Below are 13,938 nucleotides of genomic sequence, written 5' to 3'. Positions count from 1 at the left end.
GGCCATGGGCAGAGGGAGGGAGGCACAAGGGTCAGGTGCCATGTAGGGGAAACTGCAAGTCATTTGCAGTGGCTGGAAGGCAAGGAAAGCTTGAGGAAGCATTTAGAGAAGAGGCTAAAAATTATGTCATCCAAAAAATGATTGAAAACATTGTGGTAAATGAGATAAAACTAGGTCCCCCATAGTTGTATATGTAGATATAGTAGGCTGCTCCATTTTGTCATGATAGCCACAAACTTGTAAGAACACGAGAGGCTTTGCAAAATACTTAGCTGAAGCCAGCATCTGAGTAGCATCTGAGTGTCTCCTTTACTCAGTCCTGAGTGAAATGTGGGAGGGGCTGGGTGGAGGTGGTGCTTGAATACCTTGCTGCTGCTCTCTCCCAAAGCCAGAGTTCCTGCCAAGCCATGGCAGATGCCGTCAGGTAAACTGCTCAACAGCTGTTCTCAGTCCCTCCAGCAGCTAGGGCTGGCCCCATGACCCAGGAAATGTAAGGGGAGGGCTCCCAGAGTTTCTGGAATTTTTTCCCAATTGACAAAAGGAGAGTGGCAAACAAGAATGGAGCTCCTGCCCTCCATCCACTTCCCCTGCCTTTGAGTATGGTGCTCAGGAAGCGACATTTGGCTCTGGGGCAGCCATCTGGTGATCATGTGATCAACAGGGCTGCATTCCTCTGGAGGCTCTGGGGAGAGTCCATTTCCTTGCTGTTTTTTAGCCTCTATAGGTCACTGGCATTCCTTGGCTCATGGGCCCCTTCATCTTCAAATCCTGCAATGACAGTTCTGTCCTTCTCAGGTGCCAGCTCTCTGGCTTTCTACAGGTGGGAAAGGTTCTCCACTTCTGGGGACCCATGTGATCAAATTGCGCCCACCTAGATAATCCAGAATAATCTTCCCACGTCAAGGTCCTTAACCTTAATTGCATCTGCAAAATCTCTTTTGCCCTGTCAGGTAAATAATCACAATCTTCCCACGTCAAGGTCCTTAACCTTAATTGCATCTGCAAAATCTCTTTTGCCCTGTCAGGTAAATAATCACAGGATACAGGGTTTAGGATGTGGCCCTACCACAGAAAGAGTCTTTGAGTCCTTGACATTGAGGAGGAAACCAATCCTGTTCTCCACCATCTCTGGACACCTTAAGTAAACCACCGATATTATTATTGATAAAGCTGGTGTTAGCTTTTCTGTTATTTGAAGCCAAAAAGCATTTCTGACACAGGAGCTATTTGCATGATGAACCATAGCCTGCAGGAGAACAAAGCCCAACTGGTTCTCTGGGCCTGTGGGGAGGGAGGATGAGGTTGAAGAGGGAAGGGAGGGGCCTGCTGTAGTGTGAGGGACAAAGACAGGAAGAGAAAAAAGGCATTAGGTATTCCTGTGGTCTGCACATCCTCTCCAGATACTCAAGAAATGCAATTCAACTATTTGGAGATTACTTTTTGATAGCTATGCTTGGTTTCTAAATGCAGCTAGGCCCCTGCACACAGGGCTTGCTGAAAGTGGCCACCTCAGCAGCAGCAGCACAATTGCCCTGTATAAAGATGACCAAGGGAGGGTGAAATCCCCTTTTGGGAGATTGTGGTGTTTGGAAAACAGATTCTTCCCCTCCCTGACACTCCGTTGAGGGAGGAGAGGTTAGATTTTATTCCCTTGGCTGAAACTTCTGAGGGGAACTTTTTGAGACACTCATGGAAGATCAAATTGAGGGTTGAAGACTTGGTAGGGACTAGTGCAGCATGGGATAGTGGTATTCACTGCAGAGAAGTGTCTGCCAGCAGGAGGCTGGCAAGACACTGTCAAATTTCATGAGGGAGCACCAATGCTGTTAGGAGTTGGGTCCTTTGCTGATAGGACCTGCAGGGCATCTACCTTCATGTCTACAAAAAAGTTACTAGTGACCAGGCACAAGGGGACAGTAACCTTACCAGCCTCATTGCTAAGAAGTGGTTAGCACATGTCTTCCCCCCGCTCTTCCTGGCCTCTTCCACCACCAGTCAAGCTGGTGCAGGAGTTGGCAGGGACAGCACATCTTGGAGGCACTATGGAGGTTCAGGGGAGCTTTGAATGAAACCACTGAACTTTAAGATAAGATTGTCTTAATAATGCAAAATGACTTAAAAGTCACAGGATTGCACTGAGCACTTGATAAGCCCACTGCCCAGTGGGTAACTGCATTTGACAAAACAATTGGCACAGTTATGAAAAAAATGTAAGCATTGAGTATTTTTATCTCCATAAATTATACTCTTCAAGCAGGTTACTTAAGCATTATAAAAGAGGCTGAAAACAGGTGGGGAGAGGGCAGGTGGGAAACATGGAAAGCAGAGGGAAGGGGAGCTTGGTGCCCACCTGTGAGGCAAGGTTTTAGGGTCCAATAACAATTTCTGACCTGGTGAGCTGACACTCAGTTGAGATCAATTCTCTTGTACAGGTGAGCTGGTGAGGAGGTGGAAAGGGGCAGTGCTGTGATGGGGAAGGGGCAGAGCATTCCTCTCAACTCTCTTTTGCCCTCCTAGCTTGACCTACTGATGGCTGCACTCTTTTCTAAATAGTAACACATGCTCCAATGCATGCTTGAGTTTGTGCAGTATTCTTGTTTCTGAAAGTCAAGTTGTGACAATTAATGCTGTATCTAACCAAATGATCACAGCCTCCCTCTTCCCCATGGGAACTACAATCAAGAAGCATCTTCCAATTTCATGTACACTAAACCTAGGTGGCCACAAGCTTCATTTGGGCCATGAACTCCTTTGAAACCCTCATAAAAACTGTCCTACTATCTCCCTGGTAAATCGCACATACACAGAGTTTTGCCTTTCAGGACATATGGCCTTATAAGATTTTGACTACTAGTGACCAAAATGTTGATGTTTTTCAAAAATTACACAGAATTGTTAAGATGGAATAGTTTTATTCAGCAAACAAAAAACTTGCTAATTCAGAGTATCCTCTAGTCCACGTAATGTGGTTTAGACTACATTTGCAAAATTAGGGCCTTGACGCTGAACAAAATAAAATCCAGAGGAAGAACTACAGTATCCAATCAAAAAGGAAGTACTAGCAAATGAACCAGAATAAAAGACTTTATTGTATTCCATACATTCACAGGTCACTTCCAGATTTAGTAACAACACTGCAATGCTATGATGCTGTGCGGTCATTTAGCTTAAACCACAGTGTAAGTTGGTAGCTCTCTCCTGCTCTCTTGGCCTCTAGATGTATCACAATACAATTCCTAACTGTGGCCTGGCAACCAATGCTTATTTCATTGGATTATTTTCTGACTGGGACATGAGTTCATCGCATCTTCCCAGAATTTTAAAGTACCTTCCCTTACATTATAAGAGATGACCAAACACTCTAGTGTGAAGGCTGCTTCACACACTGTTCTTATCTATCATGATTGCTCTTCCTTACATACACGTCCCGTACAGATCAGCTACACACGGCATGGTCCTGAAACCACAGCTTTTGTTTCTTTGGCCAGAATGCACCCCTCACCTTGAGTGCCCGCCTTAGAAACACAGGTACTTGGTTCTCACAGGGTGTGCATGGTTGACACAAGTTCATCTGCCCCACGGTAAAAGCTCTTCAAAACCTTTGCATGACTTGTGGGGAGCAGGGTCACAATTTGTTGCATGTGACCTGCCTCAGCCTCAAAAGATAAGAGATCATGAGGCTCCACCGCCCCCGGGCTCAGGAAACTTGATCCACATCGCTAGGGCTCTGCCTGTTAGGTTATGGATGCTCACCTGACTCTCTGAAGCAGAGGGAGGCTGACACAGATTAGCTTTTATTGAAATTATTAAAGTGCAACTTTGTGTTTTCACTCTATCAGGCACTGAAAAGCAAGAAGCTTTTAATTTTTTCTTTTCTATAATGAAATATATTTTCTTTACTCTTATTTGTATCTGTAATACACCTGCAATTAGAAACAGCAGTTAAACATAAAACAAAGAACAGAGCAGAAGGCACAGTCTAAAGAGTGGGTATCAGAAGAATTTTACCATTTACGCTCATAGGAATACTAAACCAAACCCAATCAGACCAAACTCCAAAGCCCATTGTGTTTACAAGTCTGCCTCTTTTGTGTGATAGCAAGTCAGTCCTTTAAAGCAGAAACCCCATTTACTAACCCTACATCCCAAGTAAGCAGGCCTGTATCAGAACCAAACAGCTGTCCTCTTACATCAGAAAATCTAAGTGATCTGAAAGACAATTCATCACAAGTGTTTCCAATTTTCTTCTGAGAACATCACCAATCCCACTAATGCAAACTCAGAACATTACTTCAGTCAAATTTCGCTAAATGCTATAGCTTTCTTCAAATAAAAATTAGCCAGAAAAATACCTTAGAAAAGATTTTTTTTTTCATTGTGGATTCCAGGAGACTTTTAAGACATGGAATTCTCGGTGATTATATTCAAATGGCAGAGCCACATTTGCTAACAGTATTTTCTAATTTTATCTTTCTTATAAGAAAAAAAGGGTAAAAATCGGATCTGAAATACTGACAGGGTTCCCCAAAGTTAGATATTAACACAGCTTTTCATTTCTCTTATGAGAACTTTACTGTAAATATACCTTTATCATAGAAATGAGATATCCAATACACATTACAAAATGTCATATTTAAAGATGACAAATCTATTCTTAACCCAGATTCTTCATCCACAGAAGTTTAATGACTAAAATAACACAACAGAATGAACAAATGTTTTATTGGCATGTTCATTGTTGTAAACAGCATCTGGCATGAAAAAGTTTTACCAAAACCTTTTTTATTGATTTTTATAAATTAGATGGTATGTCAAAATTTATGTAGAATTGTGTTCATTGAGTACTTTTATTTAGCAAAGCAAAAACTTGCTGATACTAATAAACTCTGCAATGAAATCATGTTGACTGCATCAGTCTGTACCATGACCTGACCTCATTAGCAAGTTTATTCAGAACAATGTTAAGACGTTTCCCAAAAGTTAAACTACATGTAACTACAAATTGACTCTAAAAATTAAAACTGGACTTACAAGCATTCTAGAAGATTCAAACTTGAAGTAAATCTTCAAAACTAGATGTACAAAGAGAAAAAAATTGAAGCCGCTGAACAGAGAAACCTCATTAACAAGGGCAACGACAATCCTATGGGACCTAGCACTGAGGAACCTCACTGAGGATTACATTTACATAGATTGCTATACTTCTCAATGTACACAAATGTACAGAATGAATGATACGTGAAAAGAATAATCATGGCAGATAGTTGAACTGCAATTATGATAACTCAACAGGATCAATTTTATTTACATGCTGAATAAATGAATGAAACATATTCTCTACATCCATAACTTAAGTACAATCAGTTATAATTACAACACTGCAGCAATCTGAGCTGCCACCTGCTGGGATCGGTCTAAGGGAAACGTTCTGATGTTCCAGAATAATGTTCTTAATACTCTGCAAAAAATGAAACAAAATAAAAACACAACTTCACAATTCCTTACTGGGTTACGGCTGGTTCCAAGAATTTCTTTTCTTCAGCTCCTGTTTTTGCTGCTTTCCAAGAGTCAACACACGTTGGATTTACTTCTGAATTGTCAATGAGGTAATGTGTGCATCAGTGAAATAAACAGAAAATTCATTCATTCATGGCCTTTGCACAGCTTTTATTATTAAGCTATGAGCATCCTGTTTGAGGCTAGTTTTACTAGCGGCTATGTGCACATTTGTCCGCAATAAAAGAAGTTTACTCATTCCCCTGTCCCCTTTTCTAATAGAAGGTTAGCTTTTTTTGTTGTTTTTTTTTATTTTTTTGCACATCCCTTTTCACTTTACAGTACATTTGACTATAGTGCACAACATGATTCCGAGTCAAAACAGTGGCCCATTGGGCACTGAGCTTCTGATTGGTGTAGGGCAGTCCAATCAGTGCTGGTGTCACTGGGTTACCCCAACCATGTCCGGCCAAAATGGCACTACCCAGTGGTAGTGAACCATCTAATTAAAACCAAAACTCCCCCAGGGAAAATGCTACACTATCAGAGTCAGTCTTGAGTCAGATCTTTATTTGGTGCTCCATCCAGATATATTTTTAGTGCTTTCTCTTTACGAGGTGAGTATGTTACACGATGTCCAGTCTTCTGGAGTCGACTGCTTTCTTTTTTCATCAGTTCATTTCTTTGCTCATCTGTCAATTCCATTAATTCTTCTGTTTTATCCCTACATATAAAATATTAATCACATATTAGTCCAGTAGAGCCCTCCACCTCTATTAATGTATGCTTGAATGCTATGATGCTCCTCAGCAAGATAATGAAATCTGTTACTGGTGAAGTAATATTATTTTATATACTGAGATGTCCCAGATTTCTAAGGTGTTAATCACAGGAACATATTGCTTACTTCTAAAAGTGGCGGAGAATAACTTCCATGTTATTAGCAGTAGTAACAGCTATCATTATTGAACATCTATAATAGGCACTGTGCCAGTTATTTTACATGCAACAGCTCTAATTCTCATAAAATCCTGCAAGGTAGACATCATTGTTGCAATTTTATAGATGAGGAGCTAGGTAAATCAGAAAGCTAGTTTTGAACCCAGATTTGTGAGGCTCCAATGACTATTCTTTTTCCTCTACATCTGTGCTGTCCAATACAACAGCCATTAGCCACATGTGGCTATTGAGCTTGTGAAATATGCCTGGTTCAAATTGAGATGTGCTGGAAATATAACAGACATACAATATTTCTAAGACTCAGTACAATAAAAAAATGCAAAATACAAATGATTTTTTATACTGATGACATGTAATGATCATATTTTGGATATATTGGGTTTACAATATTTTTAAAATTAATTTCACCTGTTTCTTTTTATTGTTTTTAATGTGGCTACTAGAAAACTTCAAATTATAATCATGTTTGGCTGTCACTGTATTTCTACCGGTTAGTGCCGCTCCATATCATAAAAACAGTAAAGATATTTATGGAAAATAAGATATGTATGCACGCCAAAAATGTATTACTAACAGCAACAAAAACATTGTGAATGTTACCTATAAAATATGACCGCACCATCATCACAGATATAAAGAGGCCAGACATTCAGGGTAGAAACTTTAGGATTCCAGTCTAAATCCTGATGAATATCAAGGACAGAAATATCACAGGGAAATGTTCCTCTACCCTAAAAAGAAAAAGAATGAATGAATAAATCATGCCACTAGCTGTGTTTATCATGCACAATACACAGATGCAACATTCTCAGGGCTTTACCTTAGCAAATTCAATATCATCCAAAGGAATCCCACTGATTTCACTAAGCTGTAAAATAAAACATTTTATTTGAGTTCATTTAAAAAATTAACTTGCTTAGAAAAGTTATTTTCCTTTTACCCCACAAACAGAAATAGCTCAGTTTAAAAAATGTTTCATGTAAAAAAATTAAGAAAAAGCAGAAAGCGGCCACCCTGCAAATACCATGTCCCAGAAATACCAAGTTAGTATATTCCTTCCAGACCTTTTCCTATGCATACACAAACTACACCCACGTTTCTAAAACATGTAAAATCAGATTAATATCTCTATATAATAATTCTGTTCCTAGAGGAATAGGATACAAAGTGACCACATTCTCTTCAATAACCGAACAATATACATTTTATCTCCTACTGATGGACACTGAGACTGTTTTCAGTTTTTCCAAGTTACAAAGCTCTACTGTATACTTCCATGAATATCCTCGCACATGGTGAAACCCCGTCTCAACTAAAAATACAAAGAATTAGCCGGGCGTGGTGGCATGTGCTTGTAGTCCCAGCTACTCGGGAGGCTGAACCAGGAGAATCACTTGAACCCGGGAGGCGGAGGCTGCAGTGAGCCAAGATCGCACCACTGCATTCCAGCCAGGGCAATAAGAGTGAAACTCCGTCTCAAAAATAAATACATAAATAAATAAATTCTTTTTTCTTGAGACAGAGTCTCACTCCATCACCTAGACTGGAGTGCAGTGGTGCAATCTTGGTTCACTGCAACCTCCACCTCCTGGGTTCAAGCAGTTCTCCAGCTTCAGCCTCCTGAGTAGCTAAAATTACAGGCATGCACCACCACACTTGGCTAATTTTTGTATTTTTAGTAGACACAGGGTTTCACCATGTTGGCCAGGCTGGTCTCGAACTCCTGAACTCAAGTGATCTGCCCACCTCAACCTCCCAAAGTGCTGGGATTACAGGAGTGAGCCATGGCACCCAACCTGCAAATACTTCTACAGATCGAATTCCCAGATGTTTAATTGCAAATCCGAAATACTGACAAATGATGCCAACTGAACTTGAAAAAAATCATATCAATTTATACACTTATCAAAGGTATATATTGTCTGTATCCCCTAAACCTTGAGAACTCTAGGTATTTTTTGATTTTCTAAATCTTCACCAATTTAAGAGTGAAAAATAACGTTATTCTTTAATTTGTATTTCTTTTTCTATAAATTGCCTATTCATGCTGTCTTTCTTAAAATTAGATTTGTTCCGTCTTTTTCTTATTAAGGTAGTAGCTCCTTATAAATTATGGACAGCATGTTTAATAACTGCTTCAAATAATTTCCTCCTAGTTTATTGTCTTTTAGCTTTGTTTATGAGTTGCTTTTTAAATACCTTTTTCTTTGGCTATGCAGAGGATAGGTTTTTACGTGGTCTATAGTTTCTTTTTTTGGCTTCTGGTATTATGCTTACAAATATCTTTTTCCAGGAATATGAAAATATTTTTAGTATTTAATATTTTACATATTTTCACCTAGTACATTTACTTTTTTTATATATAAACTTAATACATTTAGAATTTATTTTTGTGTTTAGTATGAAGTATGGAAATAAATCTTTTTCAAAATGCTCATTGTGCTAGTACCACAGATTGACTAATTCACCCTTTCCCCAGAGATCCTTAGATATCCCATCTTAAAATGCAAAACAGACCTTCATCTGGATTCTCTACACAATTCGACTTCATTTGGTTTTTTTTAGACATAAAGCAATTCACTCTAGTAACTTCTAACTAATTCTAACTACTTAGGACAAAATTGGTCCAAGTAACAGAAAGTGAGGATCCACTTCTGAATGGCCAGGAGCCAAAGTAATTTTTCAAAGAATCAGGAGCCTGAACAACCAGAGTGTGCCACAAGGTGTGACAGAAACCAAAAAGAAAGGTTGCTGCACCAGTGTTTGGTACTACTTCCTAGGTTTTCTCTTACGCAACACAGGAAGAATGTATTGTTTATATATTATATATTTTATTAATATTATGATATACATATACAACATAAGATACATGTTTTGTTTAAAATGAACTTACCTTCTCTCGCAATTCGTCCACACTACTGCTTTCCAATACAACCTCCTGGAAGGGATCCAACTTCATCTCTGAAGGCTTCCACCGTCTTGACAAAACTGCAAGCTGTGACATGGACTTCATCTTCTCTACCCCTAAGAATATGCAAGATTAGGTCATCATTCTATTTCCTCTGAAGGTTCATAATTTGACTTTTCCCTTAGTGCCTTACTAAACAAAAAGATTTACTTCAAGTGTTACTCTTAAAAAGTGGGCACAAGAAAAAACCCAATTATCCCAAGGAGTTTTTGAGAATGAAATATTTACTCTCTTCTCTCCAGTCTCAGAAGATAATTCCTCTCTTCTTCAAACCAGTACTCCTAATTCCACTCCCTCCTGACTCCTGTTGAACACTGCATTACCAATTACTCTCTTCTCTGGATTTCCAATCTTTGTTTCTCTATTGGCTCCTATCCCTATCTAAAATCATAAACAAATCAACTTCACTTTATCCTCTTTTTTCACTAAAGCTATTATTAATCCTTCTCTTTCCATTTACTCCCCAATTTAGTGATTCTTCAAAATTGTCACTTTTCCATTATGTCACTTTTCAAGCATCAACTCAATTGTCACTTTTCAAGCATCAACTCAATTGTCACTTTTCTCTGGTGTACACAAGAAGAACTTCTACTGATTCAGTCCCTTAGTACCTATTATTTTAGAATGACAGGTTTGCAGTTCTGTTTCTTCCACAGACTGTGTGCACCAATAAGTGGTTCTTACTCATTTTTGTAGCACAAGGGATTAGCAGTGTCTGGCAAATTACAGGTCAATAAATACCTCTTGGATTTAATCACATGACATTTCTTACTCAACTATCTTGATGTGAAAATATACTGAAATAATACTGATGCAGGCACCCACCATCTAGTACCATTTTCAGATGAATCCATCTCTGCTAATACATACTCAATCCTTACAAGGGTGACTTCTTTGTCATTTATGATCTCTTCCTGACTTACCCAGGCACAGTGATTATTCCCTACGACCCCAGATACTCAAAGAAATCACAATCTGGAGCACTTGCCTACACACCATAGTAGATGGTATCCTAGTTGTTCCTTACCTCCCAACTTAACTTGTCAATTAATCAGAATTTCAACCATTTAAATTTATGGTTGAATTAGACCTGAAGCAGCCTGAAATACATGAGGTGTTAGTATTATTGAGCTCTCTAAAAACTAGGATAATCTTGTAACAAAATATCCAGAATTCATATTTTACTTTCTACAGAAGAAAAGGAAAATTAAAATTTTCCTAAGCAACAGCAAAAAAAGAATATAGAACTAGTTGTTTACCTTGATGTGATCTTCTAAAAGCCAACTTTCCTCCTATAAGCCTCCCTCCAAACACCAATACTTTAAATGTGCCAATGTTGATAACGAAAACTGGGAGGTGTGACAAGTATGTCTGCTACTTGGACCTCCTCAAGGTCACTGCTATGGGTTGAATTGTGCCCCCCACAAAAAGACATTTTGAAATCCTAATCCCTAGTACCTCAGAATGTGACCTTATTTGGAAATAGGGTCTTTCCAGTGATACTCAAAGTAAAATAAGGTCTTCAGGGTGGGCCCTAATACAATAGGACTAGTGGTTTATGAAAAAGGGGAAAACAATACAGACAGACAAGCCCACAGAAAGAACACCACATGAAGATGAAGGCAGAGACTGGGGTGATGTATCTACAAGCCAAGGTTGCCAATGATGGCCAAAAACCACAGAAGCTAGGAGAGAGTATGGAACAGATTCTCCCCCACAGCACTCAGAAGGAACCAACCCTGTTGACAGCCTGATCTCAGATTGTGAGACAATACACTTCTATTCTTTAAGCCACCTGGCTTAGGACACAAATAGTCATTGTTCTTGAGTCTCTGATAAATTATCAGTACCATGTCTTCAATACAAAATAAGCCATAATAGTAAAAAAGAAACTAAAGAACAAACGTGGCTAAGAAAATATTAGCAGAGTTTTCTTAAAATGTATTAAAAACCTAACTTTGTAATTTCCTCATAAGGGGGAATTAATATTCTCAACATTCAAAAAAAGAATACTTAAAAGGCAAATGGGAACCAGAGAAAGATAGCAGAAGGCTGAAAGACACTGATTATTCTTTCAAAAACAACTTAAGCAGTTACATTAGGACACAGGGGAAGAAAATAAAACTCCCAAGGATAAGACGTAGGTAGGAATCACATCAATCCATAATAAGGATATCGTTATGCTTAATATAACACAAAACACTATAATGTATATTAGATTCCTCGTAACTCATTATTTGATTAAAAACTATAGGCTTCTATTAGTTCTAGAGTATTTCTAACTGATACTTCCCCCCAAAAATATTGAAAATACCATCAAGAACTTCAAGGAAAACCTCCCAGTTGCTGGAAATATTAATATCTTCTTCATAAATATGATAATCCAAAAAGACAGTGCCAGGATTCTTCCATGTTTTTTTCCTTAGACGAAACCTACAAATGTGATAAGACATTTAAAACGACTATAATTTGAAACTCTCAATTTAAAGATTGACACTAATCTGACACCAAAGAAAAATGAACTATGTTCAAATACAAAAGTCAAATAATGAGTTGTTAAAATCTGGGGAAATAAAGAAATGTTTCCAGTAATTCAAATTTAGAATTCTGTATAGGAAATCCAAACAAAATTTTAATACTCTTGTTTAGTCCTATTAAACTAATCTGTCATACTAAAATTCTGAATAGCACAGGAAATTTTAATTCTCCTAGTTTTAGAAAATCATACCAGTCCATTTCAACTGACCACATAGTCTTTCTTCAAATCGCTGATGACATTAATTTTACTTTACCTGTCAATACTGAGCTCTAAACCACATTGCTCCCTGAGCTGAGGAATTAATTCCTCTTTTGATTGCCGTACAGTCATTCCTTTAGCAAACACAGCATCTAGCAGAAACTTGCATGGCTAGAAATATAAACATAAACAATCAGAGCTTGAATTATACCTTAAGTACATTAATATTAACACATTAAAATAAAAATTACCAAAACATTTTATTTGCAATTAAGGGCCTGAGTTTCAGAGTCTATCTTCCTTTTTTGAAACCTTAGCTCCACTATTTATGAGCTCAGCTATCTTGGGCAAGTTTACTTAAAATCTCTGTGTCTCAGTTCTGTAAACTGGGAACAGTATCTTCCTCACTGAGTCATTGTAAAGGTTAAATAGGATAACACACTTGTATTTTCCTTCTTTTAACAGTTATAATTTTGAAAGCAAAAAGAACCACTTTTATGGACTAAAATGAGGGAAATGTATACTAATTCTCCAAATACTTTAACCAATTGTCTCAAAAGAGACAGTTTCCACAAACTCAGATTAAATATGTAAATCAAAATGACTGTAATGGGTCACATTAAGAGAAATAACAGATGCCAGATAAAATATCTTATATGAATAAAGGCATTTTATGATAAATTTATGGTTTTCACATTTGTCTAGTTCTTCAACAGGATGCTATAACATGTTATAACAGAATGTTATAACAATAGGATGTTATAACATTCTGAAAATATGATCTTTGCCTTATTCTTTTGGGTATTTGTGGTAAGGCTAGTATACCACAGGACTAAAATATTTTATTGACCCCTTAAAAAACACGGCCTGTTTAGATCATTCACCCACACCGTTTACAAGCAGTGACCTTGACCAAGATACTTAACTTCTCTGTGCCTCAGTTTCTTCATCTATAGAATGAGAATAAGAAATAGTGCTTGTATCTTAGTTAACTGATGATTAAATGAGTTAATATTTGCAAGCACCTAAAGCACACAGTAGACACTATATAAATGCTTGTTACATACTAAAATGACTTGCAACTGCTATTCACCTGTAGCACTGTATGATTGTTTCCAGAAAGCAAGCACACGCACAAAAAAATTTCTTTTCCTTTTAAAAGCAGGAAAATTTTGTCTCATTTCAGCATTTGTAGCAACACTTTAGAGCACAGGGATGACAAACAGTGGCCTGAGGGCCAAGTTCACTGCTGCCTGCTTTTGTAAATAAAATGTTGAGACATAGCCATCTCATTGGCTTATTATTGTCTATGGCTCCTTGTGCTATAATAGCAGAAGTGAGTAACTGCAACAGAGGCAGTATGGCCTGCTAAACTGCAAGGCCCAGAAAAAATTTGCTGACCTTTGCTTCAGAGAAATAAAATGACTATGAATAAAATATATTCTATGTTTTCAGTAACTGTAAAAAGTAACCTTATATTATTCTTAAACGTATTACTTACCTCTTGTTCATTGACCAAAAGCTGGTATACTTTAACTCTGTATTCTCCTTTTTTAAGTGCTCTCCCCAGTCTAATTGTAATCTATAAGTTAAAAACATTTTTTTAGACATGCTGTCTCAGCAGAATAAACAACCCATTCTCATCCCATTTTTAAACTTTCCAAAATACTCTAGATTATAGGCTCTCTGAGAACAGGCATATCTTTTACCTCTGAATCCCCAGCACCTAGAATAGTAACTGACACACAGCTAACATTTCACAAATGTTTGTTAGATG

The 13,938-nt window shown here is 37.8% G+C and overlaps 1 protein-coding gene across 18 annotated transcripts in view; it reads right to left on the bottom strand.

Annotated features, from left to right (window-relative positions):
- Window positions 1–333: 333 nt before the first annotated feature.
- The window catches only part of USP47 (ubiquitin specific peptidase 47), a 119,916-nt gene continuing 106,311 nt past the window's right edge, over window positions 334–13,938 (bottom strand). For 15 of the 18 annotated variants that reach the window (NM_001372095.1, NM_001372093.1, NM_001372094.1 and 12 more), the window contains 7 exons: window positions 13,663–13,743; window positions 12,217–12,332; window positions 11,739–11,857; window positions 9,350–9,480; window positions 7,277–7,324; window positions 7,057–7,187; window positions 334–6,220 (listed from right to left, as the gene is read on the bottom strand). In NM_001372095.1, coding sequence (NP_001359024.1) covers window positions 6,046–6,220; window positions 7,057–7,187; window positions 7,277–7,324; window positions 9,350–9,480; window positions 11,739–11,857; window positions 12,217–12,332; window positions 13,663–13,743 — 801 coding nt within the window. In that variant the 3' untranslated portion in view covers window positions 334–6,045. The remainder of the gene's footprint in view (window positions 6,221–7,056; window positions 7,188–7,276; window positions 7,325–9,349; window positions 9,481–11,738; window positions 11,858–12,216; window positions 12,333–13,662; window positions 13,744–13,938) is intronic. The other 3 variants (NM_001372096.1, NM_001372101.1, NM_001372103.1) reach the window with 2 other exon arrangements.

Source organism: Homo sapiens, chromosome 11 (genome assembly GCF_000001405.40).
Source record: "Homo sapiens chromosome 11, GRCh38.p14 Primary Assembly".
NCBI lineage: Eukaryota > Metazoa > Chordata > Mammalia > Primates > Hominidae > Homo > Homo sapiens.
This window is presented reverse-complemented; position numbering and strand designations above follow the sequence as displayed.